This window comes from Homo sapiens, chromosome 1 (assembly GCF_000001405.40).
Source record: "Homo sapiens chromosome 1, GRCh38.p14 Primary Assembly".
NCBI classification, from domain to species: Eukaryota; Metazoa; Chordata; class Mammalia; order Primates; family Hominidae; genus Homo; species Homo sapiens.
Genome location: NC_000001.11, coordinates 65041333 through 65064310, shown reverse-complemented (window position 1 = coordinate 65064310; position 22978 = coordinate 65041333). Strand labels below are relative to the sequence as shown.

The following is a 22978-nucleotide window of genomic DNA, read 5'->3' as shown; positions in this document are numbered from 1 at the left end:
CCACTAGCCACGTGGCTATTAACCACCTGAAATATGGCTAGGGTGAGGAAGAGCTCAATTTTAAATTTTATTTAATTTTAGACTTTGATAACTTGATTTAGTTATTGGAAAGCTTATTTATATTTGGAAACATACTTGAGCTTACGCATCTACTTTTGAAACTAAGTGTTTTGAAATCCAAACGCAAATTAAGTATTTTGATGAAAATTTAGAATTGGGATATGTAAGTGCAAAGTAATCTTCAGATTTCAAAGAATGCAAAAAAAGTAGAATAGCCCATTAATTTTATGTTGATTCCATGTTCAGATGATAATATTTTAGATATATTGGGTTAAATGAATATGCTATTAATTCCACCTGTTTATTAGTGTGGCTACTAGAGAATTAAAAATTACATGTGTAGCTTGCATTATATACTTCATTGGACAGCTCAGGCCTGCATTACTCCTTTTCATCTATGAATTAATTTCTTTTCTTTTTTTCTTTCTTTTTTTTTTTTTTTTTTTGAGATAGAGTCTCTCTCTGTCTTCCAGGCTGGAGTGCAGTGACGCGATCTTGGCTCACTGCAACCTCCACCTCCCAGGTTCAAGCGATCCTCTTGTCTCAGCCTCCAGAGTAGCTGGGACTACAGGTGTGTGCCACCACGCCCGGCAGATTTTTTGTATTTTTAGTAGAGATGGGGTTTCCCCACGTTGGCCAGGCTGGTCTTGAACTCCTAAGCTCGGGTGATCCATCCGCCTTGGCCTCCCAAACTGCTGGGATTACAGGCATGAGCCACTGTGCCTAGCCCCATGGATTAATTTCAAAAGTGGTGACTGTATGAAATATTGTTATTTCATGTTTGTGTTTCTATTTTCCACTGCTGTGTTCCATGTGATGATTGGGGACCCCAAGTATTACATTATTACTGTTATATTAGGGAGATTAGTGTAAAAGTCCAGGGTTCTAGAACGGCTAGCAGGGGTGTCATGGGAAAATTGGGATACCCACATACCCGGCTATTGCTGCTTTTGTAAAAGGATCCTGAACATAGCAAAAGGTACCGGAAAACAATGTGTGGCAAAGTAACAATTGTGACACCTGGTGGCATTTTAGTGATTCTACTCATCTGTCACTCACTTCCATTTATTTTTTCTTTGCTTCATCTACTTTCTGTCCCCCTCCCCACCAAATCACGGCTCCACTCGTGGCATTTGGGCCCACAAGGCTGCTGACTCCTTTCCTCCAAAAAAAGTACAATGCTAACGTGAATAGAGGTAGTGCTGTCTTTGGGTTTTGTTTTGTCTAATGAGATTCAGAAATTGCACTGGAAGGAACTTAGGAGCTATTCGGTGCTATCCCTTTATTTTATAGATGACAAACTGCCAAACACCTCACCTAAGACCATATAGACAGAGACTGGAATTAAACATACTCTTGTTGATAACTGTTTAGAGGCTCCCTGAGAAATGGAGAGGTTCATCAATTAATCAATCAATCAAGTATCTGTTGAGCTAGCATTTTGTGGAAATGACCACTAAGTGTTGTGAAGGGACATGAGTAAAACAGTTTCTGACTTTTTTAGAAAGAGTCCTGTTGACTTGAGGAAATAAGATATAAACAGCACCAAATTAAATTGCAGTATACAACACAGCACTTAATGAGTGCAGTGCCACTGTGGCATGTGTTACTAGTTAGTAGAAATGTGTTCATTTTACAGATGTAGGAATAGAAGCTTCGAGAAGGGTGGAACCTGCAGGGAAGTGGAGTGTAATTGTGTTCCTGGAACAGCCCAAGGCTGTAGAATTGGAGGTCATTGCAAGTCTTTGGTATTGGCTCCTTTAGCTGTCCATTAAGGGAATTTGAAAATCTGAGACCCAGCATTTTCAAATGGCAGTGCTGTAGTAATAAGGCAATCATAGATTAATTGGAGACCATCAGGGTTTTTAGAGATGTTTAGCCAGGGGTGGATCATTCCGAAGTTAGCTGGCATATAAAACTGACTTGTGAGCAAACCATAAAATCTAAAATCCGGGGGGTGAGAGTGGTGAAATGTGATGTAGAGCAAAATCAGAAAGTAAATTAACTGTGGAGTATACAGTTGGACTAAAAATATTTGTGCTGAGTACATGTTTGAAGGGGAGAGGCCCATATAATGTAATATATGGGCCAGTCATGTATTTATAAATTTTTAGTCTCCTGGAGCCTTTTTGGACTAAACTCTTGGTCAACATGAGGAAGAAAGCTCAGTCTTCTCTTTGTTACCGTGTCCATAGGGTTTTTTTTTCGTCCACATGGACCTTATAAAGTTACATAGCATGAGATTAATTAGGGCCAGTGCTCAAAGTCAGTAAAATGATGACACCTCTTCTCTAATCACTCTCAGTTAATGCTTCTCTTTGAGAATTGGGGCTAACTTTGTATAGGGCGGTGGTCCTTGACATTTTCTTGCCTTTCTGCCTATTTCTTTTTCCATAAAAGAGAAAAAAATTCTGTAACCTGCCACCTCATCAATCTTTGGCACAAATTAGTTTTTAAAAACTCAGTATAGCAAAGTTTTGCAATAAAATGCAAGTATACATTCTGTGTACTTGTGACAAAGCAGTATTGGACATTTGAGCAACTTTTGCTGACAGTTTATAACATCTCAGTGTGGTCAAATTTGGCCATTTTATATAGTATCACTGAATTAGATGATAATTTTCAAATTGGAAAACAAATCACACTAGTTAAAAGACCAGTGGATTTAAATACACTAAACTATAGTTTAAAAGTATTTTCAAATATTCTGCTTGGCCAACAACTTACGGTGCCTTCAGTTATTTAATATATAATCAGATATTCAAAGGTTTAAAACAATATTTTCATCTTAGTTTATAAATATGAGGGATGTAGCATGTTTTTTGTGCTTTTATTTGTACTCCACATTGATTGATCGCTTGAGAAAAGGTCTTTGTCACCCAGGCTGGAGTGTAGTGGTGCAGTCATGGCAGCCTCAGCCTTTCATGTTCAAGCAATCCTCCCACCTCAGCCTCCAAAGTAGCTGGGACTACTGGCCCTGCTCATACTATTTTTTGTAGAGACAGGCTTCCACTATGTTGCCCAGGCTGGTCTTGAACTCCTGGATTCCAGCAATCCTCCTGCCTCAGCCTCCTAAGGCGCTGAGATTACAGGTGTGAGCCACCATGCCTGGCCTTGTACTCCACGTTATTTTAAAAGTTCTTTGGTGTGCCAGTTTTCTATAAGTGCCTGGTTTTGTAGATAATATTTGGTATATGCGTTATGAAGAAATTGTTCCTAGTTGTATCATTTTTAACATAGAAGAAGTAGTTTAAAATCAGTTTGGGTCCTGGAAGAAAGCATTTTACATCACTGTTTTCTCTCTTCCTTAGTATGCAGTTATTTTTTCTTACTGTAGCATGAGTACCTGTAGTCACTTGTTTATAAATTTAGACAGTTCAGTTCTTAGACGAAACATGTTGAAGAAGAAATATTTCTGATGGATTTAAATTTTCAAAAATGCACGTTTATAAACATTTTCAAGAAAAAGCAAGACACATTTTTGAAACATTTATTTTAAAAATACCATTTTGAAAACCCATATTTTTCTTCCTTGAAACTGCTTTAGAATCTGAGAGAATATTAATTTAAGTAACCATTCACAGAATAATGACAATTTGCTGCTTGTTATTAGGGATGCTTGGCTTCTTTTTTTTTCTAATTTAGGTAAAAAAATGAAATGAGAGAAAAATAAGGAGAAAAAGGAAGTATCTTTTACTTTACCAAAAATGTTTAGTTGTTGCATGGGTTTTGGTGATGGCTAGTAGAGTGAATTTCAACTTTGCAGTACACTTCCTTCGTCTTTATACTTCATATTTAGACATTGAATCACACTAATATTTTGGTGAAGAACAGTCTAATAACTACAAATATGTCAGGATTATTTATTTGTCTCCATACTTACCCAACCTTCAGTGTTTCAGGGTAAGTATTCAGTTTTCCAAAGCTGACAGAATTGTGGTCAAGAAATATTAGTTGATAATCTTATCCTTTTTCGTGGAACAGCTATCTAAAATTTTACTCTAAAATAATCACAGTATCTTTGTTCACGTAGCAGATGTTTATAATTCGGGTAAAAATGTGCAACTATTTCCAAGAACCTTAGGTTATGGGATCCAACTGTGATTTTTTTTTTTTCTTTAATCTTCGTTGCCCTCTCGTGTTTCAACTCTGTATTACAGTTGGCTAAGACCTAGATGATGACCTCCTTAATTTTTAGATATTTTTGCATTTTAGGCAATGTTGTTTTTAATTTGTGTGTAGGTGGATTGTTTCATTGGATGTTGCTTTTCTGAAGATAAGGTCATTTTCATAGTACGTAAAGTTAATAGTTGAGTTAGATTCACTGTACTTTTATTTTCTGACTTCTGCTGATCTAAAGAATTGATTCATCTACCTGACTTATTTGAAGTACAGTGCTAATATCTAATATGCATATAATGAGTCTTTGAAATTGAGCAAATGCCTAATGAAAACATAATTATTTTTCAAATATCTGTCAAGTTCCACTCATATTGAAATAACTTGAAACCTTATGACATGGAAAAAACCCAAGTGAATCATGGTTTTAATAAGTTGATATTCTGATGCCTGAATTCCAATTTCAGAATCTTTTGTACTTTTTATTAAAAGGAAGAATCATCCCTAAAATGACTTCAGAGTACGTCTCAAAGGTACAGATAATTTAAAAGCAAGTGATGTGTATATGTTATTATTACTTTTTAAAAAGGTATTCTGAAGGTTGTCAGTATCACCATAGGTATAGAATTGACATAAACTATAGTGAAAAATATCAATGTTACTAATTTGAGTACATTCTTAGCACTCAGAGCAAGAGGAATGAAAGTCATTTTTGCTAATGTGCATTTTTCTTCTTAATTATAAAGCCCCACTAGCTTCTGCTTCATGATCTCAGTTACTGAGAAAACTAAAACAAAAAGTAAATGTTTTTAGAAATCCTTTTGTTTGTGTAAACTGAATATCCAGTTGATGGAGTTGGACAGCTAGGGTAGGGTAGAGAAAACAAAGCACTGTGTTCACTCATTTGACATGGTTCTGGACATGGGTTCGCCATAACTTAGCAATATATGATCTCTGGCAAATCACCTAAGTTTTTTTTTTTTTTTTCTGCCTATAAAATGGGGTAATAATATCTAATCTATTTCCAGAATCCTTTTTTGATGAATTAATGAATAATTCATTGCCAGCCCCATAGCGTCTTGTGAAAACCAAATGAGAAAACATATAGAGCAGTTTTGAATGTTTGGCAGATATGAAGTATTATTGTCATGTTTGGTTATGAGCACTTTGAAGACAGGAATCATGTCTTAGTTATCTTTATTTCCTGAACATCTAGAAGAGGGCTTTAGAACGTAGTAGTTCCTCGGTATATATATGAAAAATCAATGATTGAGGTCAGGGAGGCACAGTCAGTGAATCCATGCATGGAAGAGATAAGCTGTGAAATATGCTGGAAGCTTACTGCATATTTGATGTATTAGAGTGAAAACCTAATCATGCAGTTGTTCATCCTCATTAATATGGATAAGTCATGTGTTCATCTTTCATTCTAATTTAATTCAACTGGGCCTTTTAATATTTCAGCCTCACCACTTGCTGGGCTCTGATCCTTCTTTTTCTTCTGCCTCCTCACGTCTCCAACCAGAAGGTGATCTTTTAGTCCTTCACTTCATGGGGAGCCTTCAGAGAGAGTAATGCAGCCACCAGAAAGGATGCCGTTGACCGACACAGTGACTGACAGGCTGCCCTGGCTCAGTTATCACAGTGCTGATGCTGTCTATTCTAAAGGTACAGTACTGTGATAACTGAAGGATGGCAGCCATCTTACCTTCCATCAGAGGAGCCTCACCGTACCCAGGAAGAAAGAAGGTGAAAGAGGAATGTGAAACAGGTGGCTGGGACCCAGAAACCCTCTTACCCTGCACCTCTGTCATACTTCTCCCGGGGCATAGGGAGAGTTATTCTGCTTCTCTTTGCCTTGTTTTGTAACATGGGGTAGTTGTTGGTGCAGCCATGTTGTGCTGAGTGAACATATATTAAGATCTTTGGAACCTTTAGGAGACTGAAAATAGGTAAGTATGAATTAGTATTTCTGGAATGGTATTCAGAGAACTTCGTACCATTTTTATAAATGTGAAAGGTAACCTAATTAGAACAGCTTGGCACTTGTCAGTACACTACTAGATTTCAAAATCAGATTCTACTTACAGGGAGAAAAAAAAAGCCCAATATGTTGAACAGTATTGAAATTGTTGCATAAATAAAAGTCCATCATTGTAGACCAGCTTACTGAAGTGAAGAAAGAAAAAAAGTATATCTTTGTCTTGAAGGAGTAGATAGTGACATGTCATGTTTCTTTCAGGATATTTAGGATCTGGCCTAATTCAAAAGAATATTTACTGAATGCCTATGTTATTGCTGCTGCTGTCACATTTACATGAAAATAAAATGTAAATTATTTTATTTCTATCAAATAAGGACTAGTCTGCAGTGATATCTGGCACATATCGATTTCAGGAATACGAAGCTGTAAACACCAAGCCAGCATCACGTGCATGAAAGACTAGGAAATTTTTTTTTTGTTGCCCACACGGGAGTGCAGTGGCATGATCATAGCTTACTTCAACCTTGATCTCCCAGGCTCAAGCAATCCTCCCACCTCAACCTCCCGAGTCTGAGACTACAGGCTCAGGCCACCCACCTGCAAATTTTTAGTAGAGACAGGAGTTCACTATGTTGCCAAGGCTGGTCTTGACCTCCTGAGCTTAATTGATTCTCCCACCTCAGCCTCCCAAAGTGCTGGGATTACAGGCATGAGCCACTATACCCAGCCAGGATTAGGAAATTTAACAGCACACATCTTCAACCTCCATCTTACTCTAGAGAGTACTGCTGGGGGTGAAAGGTGGTTATTGGAGAACCCAGGATTCTGCCAATGCCAATCTCTGCCAATTATCCCTCTTCCCTGTAGACTCCTAAGGACACTGTACACATGTAACAATAGCAAATAAGAAACAAAGTGCATGACTTGATTATGTGTTAGATCTTAGATCACAGTACTGTGCAAGGAAGGCTCAGGTAATTTCATGGAACGTGTTTTAGGCTCAGAGCCTAATCGGGTATATTACCTCATCCTAGGCTCATGTCTGTATCTGGGAGCCTGTGGATGTCTGACTGGTGTAGGAACCCAAAGCAGTGACCCATATGCTTGAGCAAAGAGAACAGAGATGGCTGAGGTTAGGCTGTAATTTGAACCTACCTACCACAGAGAGAAGAGGGGCCAGGGAGAGAAAAACCATTTGTGACTTTTTTTTTTTTTTTTTTTTTTAAAGAAAGAGTCTCAGTCTGCGGTCAGGCTGGAGTGCAGTAGCTCAGTCTTGGTTCACTGCAACCTCTGCCTCCCGGGGTCAAGTGATCCTTATGCCTCAGCCTGCCGAGTAGCTGGGATTACAGGTGTGCACCACCATGCCCATGTAATTTTGTATTTTTGGTAGAGATGGTGTTTCACCATGTTGCCCAAACTGGTTTCAAACTCCTGTCCTCAAGTGATTCTCCTACCCTCAGCCTCCCAAAGTGCTGAGATTACAGGCATTGAGCCACTGCACCCGGCCTCGTGTGACTTTTTAACATACTGTGAACCTTACCTACTATCAGCCCTGCCAACTGCATGTCTTAGATATGGGTCAGGTGTATTATCAGGTCCTCCACTGGGACACAATGGGGAAGAAAGGGAACTGAAAGGGAGTAGGCCTCGTACAGAGAGGTTCTTTCTTATCCTTCATTGTGCCAGTCCTCAGACATTGATGGTCACTGTGTTCCTTTGCTGGTGATTGCAGTTCCCTTTAGTGTCTCTTCCCTCTGCTCTACCCAAAGAGGAACCATTCTTAGTAGTGATCCCTTGAGCCACACTTGGTTGGCCCAGAACTGTTATTTTTTCAGACACATTGACCACATTATAGCCCAGTACCTTCACATGTCCTCATAGATCCACAATTTCTCTAAGCTATATAAGCTACACTACGTTTTTGATTAATTAGAGAGAGGGGTCTCCCCAGTTATTATGCTACCACTCCTGAAATTCTTTGGAGTTTTCTTAAAAGGAATTTCTGACAGAAACTCTGGAAGAACTTTTAGGAAGGGAAAGTTAGGGATTGGTGAATCCTCAAGTAATTTGAAACACTCCTTATGTTTAGTGTTTGAGCAGGTGGAAAAAAGTGCTTCAAGAAGTTATGTGTTGTGCAATCATTGGCCTTGGTGAAGATTTCACCACCTTCCCTGATCTTCCTGTTTTCCCCGTTACTAGTTTTATAAAAATTCATTGGGTTTTATACTTACCCAACCTTGACCTCAAAATCTACAACCAGGCCTGTGGGGTGTTGAAGAACTGAGTGTTGGGTGTCATTTGCAGTCACCCTGCACTACGGACAGAGTCATGCTGGGTCCCCTTTCCTCTAAACAAGAAGGCTGAGGCTTAGTCTGCAGCAGGAGCTCCAGAAGCTTGCCTGGACCTGGAGGTCTTTGGCATCTTCAAGGCATTTCATAGACGTAAGGTGTTCCAGCAGGTTAAGAGAGAAGTGATGCAAGACAGATCCAATGGGGTTTTTCCACTGCCTTGCTTAAAACACAGTGTGTGTTTGGTTGGTATATTCGTTACATTTTTCAGTTTAGGTGAAGTATGTGAGATGGTAAGATTGCAATTAAACCTAGGAATACCGTATAATCCAGCATTTCCACTTCTGGATACATACCCAAAAGATGTGAAAGGCGGCACTCTGACAGATATTGTATACCCATGTTTATAGCAACATGATTCACAATAACTAAAAGGAGCAACCCAAGTGTCCATTGATGGATAAGTAGATAAATGAAATGTAGTGTATACCTACATTGGAATATGATTCAGCCTTAAAAGGAAGGAAATTCTGACATATGCTACAACATGGATGAACCTTGAAGATACCATGCTAAGTGAAATAAGCCAGACATAAAAGGGTGTATACTGTTATGATTCCACTCACATGAGGCTCCTAGAGTCGTTAAATTCATACAGCCAGGAACTGATGGTTGCCAGGAGCTGGGGGAGAGGGGGGAATGGAGAGTTAGTGTTTAATGGAGTTGTATTTGGGGAAGATGAAAAAATTCTGGAGATGGATGATGGCAGTTGCACAACAACATGAATGTGCTTAATGACACAATGTACACCTAAAAATGGAAAATTTTATGTGTATTTTACCACAATAAAAGAGATTCAGGATAATAACCCTCTTGAAGCCAAAAACAGGATTTAGTTGATTTCTCTGCTCTCCCTTAGTTTTCCGTGTGAAGATAACTGCTGTTTCAAGTAAGCAATTAAAATGTAATTGCCATGTCTTTATGCATTTCAAGTTCTCTAATCTGAAGTCCTTTACACATGTTTCCAGGGTTTCCAACATAGCATAGCTTTAGAATTGTGTAAAATGTAAAGAAAACTCAATATAGTAGCAATGAATATTAAAAACAATGAGAAAAAGGCGTGGACAAGAAGTCACCTGATGTGGCATCTCTTGCTGGCTTTATGTCTTTTCTGGTGAGATTGGGCAACTCACTGGTCCTCTTCCTGTTCCAGTTGCCTCAACTGCCCACGTCTTTGGAGTTATGCTACCACTCCTGAAATTCTTTGGAGTTTTTTTAAACAGAAAAGGAATTTCTGACAACCTATGGAAGAACTCATAAGAAGGGAACGGTCTGGGATTGGTGAATCCTCAGGTAATTTAAAATACTCCTAATGTTTAGTGTTTCAAATTACTTGAGGATTCACCAATCCCAGACCTTTCCCTTCTTAGGGAAATCATATATATAAAATCATATATATAAGAGACTAAAGCAGCATTTAAATGTGGCATGTTATTAAAATATAAACATACAATATATGAAATAATAGTATTAAGTATAGTTTTAAAAAGTATCCTGGTTAGTCTTACAAGTCAAGTATTAGCAGCTTCATTAAAGGAGCATTCTACAGCTTGCTGTCTGTCACGAATAGTTTTCCTATTTGTTGTTACATGCTTAAATTTGATAATAAGAATATAATAATTGAGGCTGGAAATAGCAGTAACCTTCCCTAAGGGATCACATGTTTTATTAGCTGTGGGTAAAAAGGATTCATTTGTGGACCGTATCTGTTTCATCACAAAGTCCTCACTTAGGGTCATGCTTTTAAAACTAAAATCAGATTTTAGTTTTAGGAACATTAGACTACCTCCACCAGATCCTGCACAGTATTCTACCTTGATCATACTACACAGAGTTGGAGCAGACAGCTAGCTGTTGTTCTTGCCTGCCACGCTAATTTCAAATATTTTGCTATGCCTAGTACATTTCTAGCTTCTCTGAATAACCACCCAATTTTAAGTGTGCCACAAACTTGCCTTATCCTGTTTTGGGGGGCCCAGGGGAGACAGGGTCTTCCATAGCTCAGGCTTAGAGTGCAGTGGTGCCATCACGGCTCATTGTAGCCTCAGCCTCCTGATTAGCTGAGACTATGGGTGTGCACCACCATGCCCGGCTAATTTTTCAAAAATTTTTTTGTAGAGACAGGTTTTCACTGTTTCTCAGGCTGATCTTGAACTCCTGGGCTCAAGCAATCCTCCTGCTTTGGCCTCCCAAAGTGCTGGGATTACAGGCCTAGGCCACCACATTGGCTTGTCTATCCTGTTCTTAAGTGAGTATATTTCTTTCAGATCAGTTGCTCTTTGAGACAAACCTCTTACGTTTTTACACTTCAGAGATTTTTTTCCTTTAAAAATTGCTTCTTTAAAACTCTGCATTCATATTTACAGGTGCATTCTATTCATATTTACAGGTGCATTCTATTCATACTTTGTCTTCACCATTACCAGTCATCGTTTTTTGTTTTTGTGTTTTTTTTGAGGCGGAGTCTTGCTCTGTCGCCCAGTTGGAGTGCAGTGGCATAATCTTGCCTCATTGCAACCTCCGCCTCCCGGGTCAAGCGATTTTCCTGCCTCAGCCTCCCGAGTAGCTGGGACTACAGGCATATGCCACCATGCCTGGCTAATTTTTGTATTTTTTCTTAGAGATGGGGTTTCGCCATGTTGACCAGACTGGTCTCAAACTCCTGACCTCAGGTGATCTGCCTACCTCAGCCTCCCAAAGTGCTGGGATTACAGGCGTGAGCCACTGTGCCCAGCCTCTAGTCTTTTTTTTTTTTTTTTTTTTTTTTTTGAGACAAGAGTCTTGCTCTGTCACCAGGCTGGAGTGCAATGGCGTGATCTTGGCTCACTGCAACCTGTGCCTCCCGGGTCCCAGCGATTCTCCTGCCTCAGCCTCCTGAGTAGCTGGGATTACAGGCATGCGCCGCCATGCTTGGCTAATTTTTTTTTTTTTTTTTTTTGAGATGGAGTCTCGCTCTGACACCCAGGCTGGAGTGCCCAGACTGGAGTGTTGCCCAGGCTGGAGTGTCGCCCAGGCTGGAGTGCAGTGGCGCGATCTCAGCTCACTGCAAGCTCTGCCTCCCGGGTTCACGCCATTCTCCTGCCTCAGCCTCCCAAGTAGCTGGAACTACAGGCACCCACCACCACACCCGGCTAAGTTTTTTGTATTTTTAGTAGAGATGGGATTTCATCGTGTTAGCCAGGATGGTCTCGATCTCCTGACCTCGTGATCCGCCCGCCTCGGCCTCCCAAAGGTGCTGGGATTACAGGCATGAGCCACTGCGCCCAGCCTGATTTTGTATTTTTAGTAGGGGCGGGGTTTCACCGTGTTGGTCAGGCTGGTCTTGAACTGCCGACCTCAGGTGATCCACCTGCCTCGGCCTCCCAAAGTGCTGGGATTACAGGTGTGAGCCACCATGCCCGGCCTAGTCATCATTTGTAACCACAAGAATTCTTCATGAAGCATGAACGAGTTAGGTAAGGGAGGCACCAAAAGTCCATTTTGTATTTTTCTTTCATATTTAAGACATGATGAGTGTAAGGATTCCCACTGGAGGAGATTGCCAAGTACAAGAATGTGTGCCTGAGCTGGGTGTGGTGGCTCACATCTGTGATCCCAGTACTCTGGGAGACCAAAGTGGTCAAGACCAGCCTGAGCAACAAAGTGAGACTGTCTCTACCAAAAAAAAAAAAAAAAAAAAAATAGCCAGGCGTGGTGGTGCATGCTTGTAGTCCCAGCTCTTCCGGAGGCTGAGGCAGGATTGCGTGAGCCCAGGAGTTTGATGCTGCAGTGAGCTAGGATGGTGCCACTGCACTCCAGCCTGGGTAACAGCCAGACCCTGTCTCTTAATAAACAAATAAGCAAGCAGGTATGGAACATTCTCAGCTGGGTTCTTTAAGCTGTCTGACAAGGTTTCGGGTTGTAATACATGCTTCTAATGTAAATATGTTAAAATGCACATAATTGAAATGGAGTAAAGTAAGCTGATTATACGTTGCTTTGTGCATTTAGACTATTACTGTATTTTATTTTCCATGAGATTATGAGGAGATTGATGATGTTAAAAGGTGAGAAGAAATAGAGAACCATTTCGATTTAGTCTGTAGAAAATGTATTTTCACTTTTTTGCTACTATCTTTGTAAATGAAATTGCAGAAAAATTACTTAGACTCCCATTGGTTTTTTTCAATTTGAAAATGAGTATCTTCGAACCAGGAATATCTTGGGGTCCACTGGGGGCTAGCTGTCTAGGGCACTTTGCTGGGAAGACTTCTGAGACCACATCTGGGCTCTGCAGGAAGGAGTGCTGTAACCACCTTTCTGGGTCTACCTGTGATCAACCCGGGTGTGCTGTGGACATCAGACTGAGGAGGAGTGCTACATTTGCTGATACCTTAGTATGCAGTATTGGTAGTGTAGAAGCTTAGATCCTCTGGAATGGCAGAAATTCCCAGATTTATATTGATAGGGACTAGATTTCTGGAAAACCATATCACTGGGAATATAGACACCCTTTTTTATGGAGAGGGAATTATGGATTTTTAATTTTAAAAGTCTAGTGTAATATATAGTGTATATTGAGACATGAATCTTTCCACTTATCATCATTCACTAATTTCTGTTAAAAAAAAAAAAACCTGACATACCTATCAGGTCTCAAGCTATTCTAATAGCACTAGTCTAATAGCATAAAATTTGCTACTGTTAAATAAATGCTTATCCCCTGCATAATTTACAGGTAGAATTTTAAGTAATTGGATCAAATAGCTAGAAGAGGCTTTCCCTTTCTCCTTTTATTTCCTTAATTGTATTTGCTTGAGATGAGTCAATATTTGTTGAGCGCCTGTGTACCAAAGCACTCATTTCATCCTCATTGAAATCCTCAAAGAGTAGAAGAGTTCTCCATGTTTCCTAATTGAAGAACCTGAGGAGGCTCTCAGGCTCCCAGTGGGTCCCTAAGCCACACAGCTAGTCAGTGATGAAGCAGGCATTTGAGTCCAGAAACAATGTAAGAAGTTAATATTATGTTGATTAGTAGGTGAGGCTTCGAAACAGAGTTAGACCCAGCATGTGTAAAATTGCTTTAAAATTTGCACCATACACTGCCTCCCCTGTCCACTGTTGCCTTTTTCTGATGCCTTCTCTACTCTTCAGCTGGAGTTACCTCTGTAAAATGAAAGTTTGATCATGCCATCACTTAAAAACCCTCTGGTTTAAAACACTCTAGTGGCTTCTCCTCTTCAGCTGCCCCATGATGCCCTGGGCAGTGTGGTCCCACCTACTCCTCAGGTCCCATCTCTTGTACCCAGTTGACTGGCCTGGCCTTTGTCAGGGAATCAAGTCCTTTCTGTGTCAGATGCATTTCCTTCTGCCTGGGACACCCTTACCATTCAGTTCACCTTACCTCTTATCCTTCAGTTTCTGGCTAAGTACTGATTCCTCAGAGACCTTTTCCTGACATCCTGCCTAGGTCTGATCTCATGGCACTTTGTGCTTTTCCTTCAGAGCACTTGTCACAGTTGAATCACGTGTGTTGCGGGTGCATATTTTTAATGTCTCGTTAGATGGCGAATTCTGTGAAACAAGAAACATGGCTCTACCCATTGTTGTGTTTGCAGTGTCTGGCATAAGCCTGGCATGGAGTTCACAGTAGAAAACTAGTGTACTATGAGATGTGAGTGGAATGTTTCCTGTTTGCTAAGTATGGGTGAGAAGAACCCACAGCTAAAAACAAGGTGTTCAAAATCCCCACTTTCTGTGGTCAGAGATCTGCATCTCTGCGGCATTTTCCTGCAGAGCTTTTTCAAAAGGTGTCATTTCAGCAGAACCAATTCTCACATTGCCCCCACCCTTCACCCCCATAAAAAGATGACTGGAGGAGGGGGAGATGTCACCTTTTGTGGGAACTTCTCTCAGCGAAGCGGAGCATGCGAATTTGACATCATGATTGTCTGAAAATTGGTAAGCCACTATCCCAGAAAGAGCTCCCTATGCCCAGGGCTTGCAATGCTAAGAGAAGGAGGCAGGAGAGAGACAGGGAGCGACACTACATTTGGTGGGGTGAGGATATGAGGTTCCTTGGACATCATGGCCTCCAGTGAATATGTGGGTGATGGCTTGGAACTTAAGCTTTTTTGCTAGTGCCCCACAAAAGAGTACCCTCCACAACCCATCTGTGGACCACAGCAGTGCCTCTCAACAAACATGTGCCCCAAGGAGTGAGTTAGAATATGGATGGTATCCCAAAGGAAGGACCCGTGGCCAGTCAGAAAGCTCATGCCCACCAAGGTGGGTGGTTCTTCTAGGGACCAACCTCTTTTGAAGTTCGTGAAGAAGTGAGTTTTTGTGTAGTCTTTTTGTTGTTGTTTGGGTTGTGTTTTTTGTCATTGTTGTTTGTTTGAGACAGGATCTCACTCTGTTACCCAGGCTGGAGTGCAGGGCCACGATCATGGCTCACTGCAGCCTCAAACTTCTGGGCTCAAAGGATCCTCCTGCCTCAGCCTCCTGAGTATCTGGGACTACAGGTGTGCACTACCTGGCCGGCTGATTTTTAAATTTTTCTGTAGAGACAGGATCTCTCTTTGTTGCTCAGGCTGGTCTCAAACACCTGGCTCCAGGAGATATTCCCGCCTCAGCCTCCCAAAGTACTGGGATTACAGGCATGAGCCACCATGCCAGGCCTCGCCCTTACTCCTTTTGAAGTCCAGGTGGTTACAGCTGCCCCTGGAAGGGGCAGATTGTGGATGCAAGCCCCCTAACAGCAGAAAAAGGCTATTGACAGTGAATGAGGGACTTCCAATTCTAGAAATAGATCCCGTTGCCTTAGGGGTGGATAGTGGACAAGGTACTAACACCAATAAATGCCTCAAAGATTTCATTTGCTTTTGAACTTGCAGAAATGGGAGTGAAGTGATTTCTGATTTTTCCCTTGGGAAAGCAGAAAGAAACCCTTCCTCGTACAGCTGCTCCCATGAGAAAAAGTTCAACAGAAAACATATTAAATGCCCATTTCCCAAGACTCTCAATCAGAGTGGTAAGAAGCAAAGGGACGACGCTACAGAGGTGTCTGGGAAACTCAGGCTGATTAAAGGTAGCCTCCTTGACTTGCAGGCTCTGTGAAGGAAAGCACACCTCATAAATCCTTTTGGACTGTTTTTTGGCTAAACTCTCAGATTTATACGAAGAACTATTTTAAATGAATCAGCGTGTCTTTGTTTGCATCTTCTGAGATTCTGAAGACTGCAGCCAAGGAGCTAGTAAGGCTGAGAAATGGATTGAGCATTTAATCGGTTGAATACTTCCTTATGTTTTCCTCGTGTGTTCTCATAACAAGCGACCTTAGTCCAACTCCTAGTAACACATGATTGTGGAATGTGCCCTCCTGAGAAATACTGCCTTATTTTTTCATCCTGAGCACATTGAAAGTCTCTGAAAATGCAGATGAGCTTGTTTGGACAATGGTAATAATAATATATGCTAGCGATACCTGCTGTGTGTCTGGTATTTTACATGTTACAACTGAGTGTCACAACAGCCCTGGTCAAATGCAGGGAAAATGAAGACCTAGAAAAACTAGGTCACTTACCTGATGTCACTCAGTTCAAGCCCAGGTTTCTGCATTTCTAAATTTTCCACAGATTCTTATCAGCATCCTTGACAAATGAGGCTATGCCAGAACCCCCAAATCATGACATTTTCATTGATTCTTTTCTTCCACCTGCAAACAACATCAGGATCTACTCCTGTTTGGTTTTTTTCTTTGAATATACGTCACCTATTTAATAATTCAGAAGTGGGATGATGCACTTAACTGTAGGTCCGTGGGCTCAGAAGTCCCTGTGGTAGTAATAGCTTAACATTGTTTGAGGACTTTCTATTGAACTGTCCACAACTGATTTTTTTTTTACCTGTATTATCTCAATTCTTTCACAGAAGCCACATCCCCCTCCCTGTCCCTTTTTCTGCCTTATTTGTTCATAGCATTAACACTTGCACACAGTACGTCCACACTAACGTACTTCAGTATACTTACTGTGTTTAACGCTGCCTGACTCCACTAGAATGTAAGCTCTGTGCGATCTGTATGACTTTTTTTTTTTTTTGAGATGAAGTCTCGCTCTGTTGCCCGGGCTGGAGTGCAGTGGCGTGATCTCGGCGCACTGCAAGCTCCGCCTCCCAGGTTCACGCCATTCTCCTGCCTCAGCCTCCCGAGTAGCTGGGACTACACGCACCTGCCACCACGCCCGGCTAATTGTTTTGTATTTTTAGTAGAGACGGGGTTTCACCGTGTTAGCCAGGATGGTCTCGATCTCCTGACCTTGTGATTTGCCCGTCTTGGCCTCCCAAAGTGCTGGGATTACAGGCGTGAGCCATCGCGCCCAGCCTTGTATGACTTTTTAGTTATGAGATAAGTCCCTACCAAGTAGGACCAGGTTCAAATGTTTTTGAATTAATGAACAATCTATATAGGTAAATATCATCCCATTTACAGATATGGAAACTGAGGTTCATGGGATTAAATAATGTGTTTCAAAGGGGAAGTAGTTATTTTTAATTTCAAAATCAGTTTTTAAGTATTCATGGTAACAGTAGCTTCCTTTCCCCCACTGTATGGTTAGAATGAAACAAAAAAAATTTTTTGGAGACAGGGTTTTACCCAGGCTAGAGTTCAATGGCATAATCGTAGGTCACTGTTGACTCCAACTCCTGGGCTCAAGCTATCCTCTTGCCTCAGCCTCCAAGTAACTAGGACTACAGGTATGTGCCAAGATGCCTAGCTATTTTTTTTTTCCTATAGCGATGGGATCTCACTGTGTTGCCTAGGCTGGTCTTGAACTCCAGGCCTCAAGTGATCCTCCCTCAGCCTGTCAAAGTGCTGGGATTACAGGTGTGGGCCATTGTGCCTGACACTGAAATGAAAAAGTTAACCAAAAAAAAAAAAAAAAAAAGAGGTTGGGGCTGGATGCGGTGGCTCACACTGCGGTGGCTCACACCTGTAATCCCAGCACTTTGGGAGACTGAGGCGAGTGGATCACTTGAGGCCAGGAGTTCGACACCAGCCTGACCAACATGGTGAAACTCCATCTCTACTAAAAACACAAAAAACCAGAATTTCAGAGCTGTGAGAGACCTGGGAGCTATTTGAACCAGCCTACCTACCCCCTTCAGCCCCATCCCCAGTGCCAGATTCTGGGACTCAGGTCTCCTTCAACCAAATGGCCTGTTCCACTGATGGACAGCTACACTGTCATTGAATGGCTGCATTGTCAGAAAATTCTTTGTATCAAGCTGAATTTTATCTCCAGGTAACTTCCAAACGTTGGTCTGAGTCCTCCCCTTTAAGAATGACGAAATAAAGGAAAATATAATCTTGGTTTACTTATACTCCTCAGTGGGTGTCTCTTGTCCCAGTCCCTCAGACACTCCTGGCTTGGCATCTTTCCAGCCGTTTTCCATCCTGTGGGCTCCCTTTGGCATGGCCTCCAGCTTGTCCGTGTCTGACTTAAGGGCCTCATCCGGGCCTGCAGGTGGGGTATTGGGAGTGCATCATACCACCCTGTTGTTCATTCATATCCCCCAAGTCTTTCAAAGTAAACTATTGTTGAACTCTAGTGGGAAGAAAGTACTGCACAGGTGGAACCAAGGATTGCTGATGATTATGAAAAATAATAGTGATGTCTGTGGACACTCTGCTCTCCATTTTTCTGTGCACTCCCTGTGCCACACCCAAGACAGTTCTTAAAAGAGTGACCACTTATTGAGTTCTGACTGTGTATAAGATACTGTCCTAGACACTTTACATACACCACCCATTTAACTTTCTAAACAACCATATTCTTAGATATGATTTAGCTCTTGAGAAGACAGATTAGAAGAGATTAACTGATGTGTTTAAGATCACATAGCTTGTAATTGGTGGAGCTTGGATCTGAAGCTATGTTTGTCTGACTCCAAATCCCAAGCTTGATAAGATTTACTTCCAGGAGCTATAAAGAGGATAAGCTTAGCTATTTGAGGCTCCCATTTTCATTCTCTCTCAAAAACTTGCAAGAGAGATATTTTAAAGGAGTGATGACATCTTTTTCCTATCATGTGAAGAGGGGAAAGAGAAAGGAAAGGGCCCATATTATTGTGTTCCTGCTTGTGCCAGCTGTTCTATATCTGTTGATCTCATTTAGTCCTCATGACAGTTCTATGAGGAGGGCACTGTCATCATCACCATTGCACAGATGCAGAAACTGTGGCTCACAGAGGATAAAGCTAGGTCACTCACACAACCCCCTGACTCCAGAGCCACCATGATTTCATGCTTCCCACCATGCTTTCATGCTTCCCACCACACAAATGCCACATCACAGAGAAGGTTTTTGAACTCTAACTGCCACTCTCCCAGAGGGTCTTTAGCTAGACCCTTACCCACTGTGATAGTCTCTCTTCTCCTGTCTGTCACTTCCAATCTTAGTAACTGACCAAATTACCTAAGCAGAAAAGGAGAAAAAAAAACCCTTCACTAAATTAGATAAGCATTCATTCATTCATTAGACTTGCTATATGCTTGGCTTTGGGCCAGAGATCAGCCATGGGAGCAAAGTAAGAAGTCCGCTGCAGTTATTAGAGCTCAGCTTTGATGTGGCCATCATGCCTTCTTCCTCCCCAGCTGTATGACCCAATACAAGAACTCATGGTGAGTGTGACAGGCACTGCCAAGACCCAGTCATTTAGCGGTGCTGACCGAGGACCGTGGACCCACCAGTCTTCAGACTGAGTTGACTTACTTTCTAAAACATAGGTACAGAAATTATTTATTTAGGGACCACTAGATTTGGAATGCTACCAAATCCCATTACTAGTCTATAATCACACAATATTTTTACCTGCATCATTCCATTTGTTCCAACAACCTGGTAATGTAGGCTGGGCAACAGTTCATTGTTATGTTTTACAAACAGAGAATCAAACTCAGAGAAAAGACTTGCCCAGGGCATCACAGTCTCCAAGGGTGACAGCAGGACACAGCCTGCTGGAGCTATGAATCTTGCTGTTGCACTCAGTTGTCCTCTTTTGCTTCACTCCTCTCTTGTACTGCCGCCCAAACTGCGTGTACATCTCTCCCCTTGCCGTTGGCCTGTTGGCTACAAACAGCCACCAGCTCAGCAAAAACAACAAGACCAAATTGGAACTACTCTTTCAGGCTCCACTTCCCAAGCCATCTGGTCACCCTGACTTTCCACCACACAGGTGCAGTGGTTTGCAGATTGTCATCAATCTTCACCTTCACTTAAAAGTCACGTTGACTCTCTACAGCACCAAGCTGCCATAAGCATTCTTTTTCTACAGGCAGGTACGTAGGTATTAATCCTAATGTCACACTAACCCATTTGAAAAACTTGCAACTTCATTTACTTTCTCTAAGGTAGACAATAAGCTCAGAAATTGTCCTGAAAGCCAAGGATTTCCTGTGATGGGCTCACTGAAAAACATCTGACCTAAAGCTCACTCTGCACTTTGCCAAAAAGCAGAAACAACCATCTCCACATCACCAGTTCAGGGTCCCAGCCTGCTGAGCCTCCAAACCCAGCCCCATCCATATCTCTAACCTTTGCCAACCACTAGTCTATCCTTGCTTTCTAAAATTATGTCCTTTCAAAAATGTTACGTAAATAGGGCTGGGCACAGTGGTTTACACCTGTAATCCCAGCATTTTGGGAGGCCGAGGCAGGTGGATTACCTGGGGTCAGGAGTTTGAGACCAGCCTGGCCAACACAGTGTAACCTCATCTCTTAAAAAATACAAAAATTCAGCCAGGTGCGGTGACTCACGTCTGTAATCCCAGCACTTTTGGAGGCCAAGGCGGGTGGATCACTTGAGGTCAGGAGTTCGAGACCAGCCTGGCCAACATGGTGAAACCCTATCTTTATTAAAAATACAAAAATTAGCCAGGTGTGGTGGTGGGCCCCTGTAATCCCAGCTACTTGGGAGGCTGAGGCAGGAGAATTGTTGACTCCAGGAGGCGGAGGTTGCAGTGAGCTGCGATTGTGCCACTGCACTCCAGCCTGGGCAACAGAGGGAGACTCCATCTAAACAAACAAACAAGCAAAAAAAAAAAAAAAAAAAAAAAAATTAGCCAGGTGTGGTGGTGCATGCCTGTAGTCCCAGCTACTCAGGAGGCTGAGGTGGGAGAATCACTTGAGTCTGGGAGGCAGAGGTTGCAGTGAGCCAAGATTATGCCACTCCAGTCCAGCCTGGGCAACAGAGCAAGACTTTGTCTCAAAAACAAAAAACAAAAACAAACTATATATATATATAATCATATGCTATGTAACATTTTGGAATTGGCTTTTTTTCAATGTAGAATAACTCCCTGGAGATTCATCCAAATTGTGGTATAGGTTTTTGTTTTTATTATCTGAAGTCTATACATTTAAAAAAGTTTTTCTATTGAGTTTGTTTTATTATTAATGAAAATCTGTAACCAAGGTTATTGAAAGTAGGTGCCACTTCCTAGCTAGGAGACCTTGTGGATTACTTCATATCTCTGAGACTCCATCTCCTCACCTTTAGAATAGGCATAAAAATTAGGACTTTATATTATATTCCCCTTATTAATGGAGGCTAATTACAAAGATGCAATACCATGTCTTCTTTAGTCACAGAGTAACTCCAAGTCCTCATATTTCTGCGATTGGGATAAACAGCAGGTCTCATGCACTGTTTTGAGTGAAAAACATTAGATTCCATGATCTACTTTTTCTGAGACCACCTGTCATTCATATTGTCCTGCAGAAAGGATCTGATTGGGTTGGTTTGTCATTTCCAACATAGAGAACCTGTAATGGGCCCACACCAAACTCCTTGAAAGGTGTTTTCCTCTCTGTGGTTCTCTTGCAGAAGCACTAGGAGAATCTTTACACTTCTCTCTCTGGCCATCAGTCAGAACAAACTGAAGCCGGAGCTTGCCTTGGAGGTGATGCCCATGCGATAGAGGTGTTCTGGCTGAGGCTGATGACCACCTAGCAGATAGGGACTAAAAGCAGAAAAGCAGAGAGTTGAACTCATCCTCAGTTTAGTTCTCTGTAGACCAAGAACAGAAGTTATTTTATCAAACATAGTAAAAAATGAAAAGTCCCCGTTGAGTCAGTGCTCTCAGAAGAGGACTCTGGATTTGACAGGTACCTAGTACTTACTGGACCCGCATCAAAGACAGCTATTCCATAAGGTTGTTATAAGGAGAAAATTCAGTGGCCAGGACAACCTTCGGCCAACTCTAAAGCCCTATATGAAACACCAGTTATTTCACCAAGTCACCTGATGTAACATGAATTCAGTCTTCTCTATGCTTTTTGTGTATGAGCAACTGTAAAAAGAAATTTCTGGGGTGTGTTTGTGTGTGTGTGTGTGTGTGTGTGTGTGTGTTAAATAAGAGTGCCTGGTTTTTCATAACTAAGACTAAGAAAATGAAAAGTATATACAGTTGTCCTTCAGTATCTGAGGGAGATTGGTTCAGGATTCCCTCAGGTAGCAAAATCTATGGAAGCTGAAGTTCCTGATAATAAACGGGATAATATTTGCATTTACCCCATGCACATCCTCTCGTATACTTTCAATCATCTCTAGACTGCCTCTAATACCTAATACAATGTAAATGCTATGTAAATAGTTGTTATACTGTACTGCTTTAAAATTCGTTATTTTTTATTCTTATAGTGTTTTCTGTTTTGAGGGTTTTTTTGTTTTGTTTTTCTTTTCCAGATTTTTTTGTTTTGTTTTGTTTTGTTTTGAGACAGAGTTTTGCTCTTCTTGCCCAGGCTGGAGTGCAGTGGTGAGATCTCTGCTCACTGCAACCTCCGCCTCCTGGATTCAAGTGATTCTCCTGCCTCAGCCTCCCAAGTAGTAGCTGCGATTATAGGCATCTGCCAACATGCCTGGCTAATTTTTTGTATTTTTGCTAGAGACGGGGTTTTACCATGTTGGCCAGGCTGGTCTAGAACTCCTGAACTCAGGTGATCCACCCACCTTGGCCTCCCAAAGTGCTGGGATTACAGGCGTGAGCCACCGTGCCCAGCCCAGATATTTTTGATCCATGGCTGGTTGAATCTTCAGATGGGAGGACCAACTGTATGTATATATAGTATAAGTATTTGCTTGTGTTTCTGAAAGGAGACAGTAGAGTTCAGTACAGAGCTGGAAACTAGCGCCCCATGGTTCCTGTGAAATGTCTGTGTACAGGAACATACAGAATCAGATGATCGCTTCTGTGTTTGCTATGATAAGGGTTACACAGAGGCCATCAGGTAGGAGACGACACAGAGAGCACAGGTTGGAGCACAGGTGGGTCGCTAGGCATATCCAGGGTCCTGGGCTGATACAGTATCTAAAACAGAAAACATCCAGTGCTTACGGGGTACTGGCTCTTTCCTCAGACTCCACATTTGAGATGCAGAGGAACTAAAACTCCATCTTTGTGTATGTAGCAAGTTTTCCCCTTTCA

The 22978-nt window shown here is 41.6% G+C and overlaps 1 protein-coding gene and 2 non-coding genes across 6 annotated transcripts in view; all 3 read left to right on the top strand.

Moving 5' to 3' along the window:
• The window catches only part of JAK1 (Janus kinase 1), a 234518-nt gene that overhangs the window by 3436 nt on the left and 208104 nt on the right, over positions 1–22978 (top strand). The window lies entirely within an intron of this gene.
• Positions 5803–5877, top strand: MIR101-1 (microRNA 101-1). Its single transcript, NR_029516.1, has one exon. It is a non-coding gene; the product is annotated as a microRNA 101-1 (primary transcript).
• MIR3671 (microRNA 3671) lies at positions 6469–6556 on the top strand. The gene has a single exon (NR_037443.1). It is a non-coding gene; the product is annotated as a microRNA 3671 (primary transcript).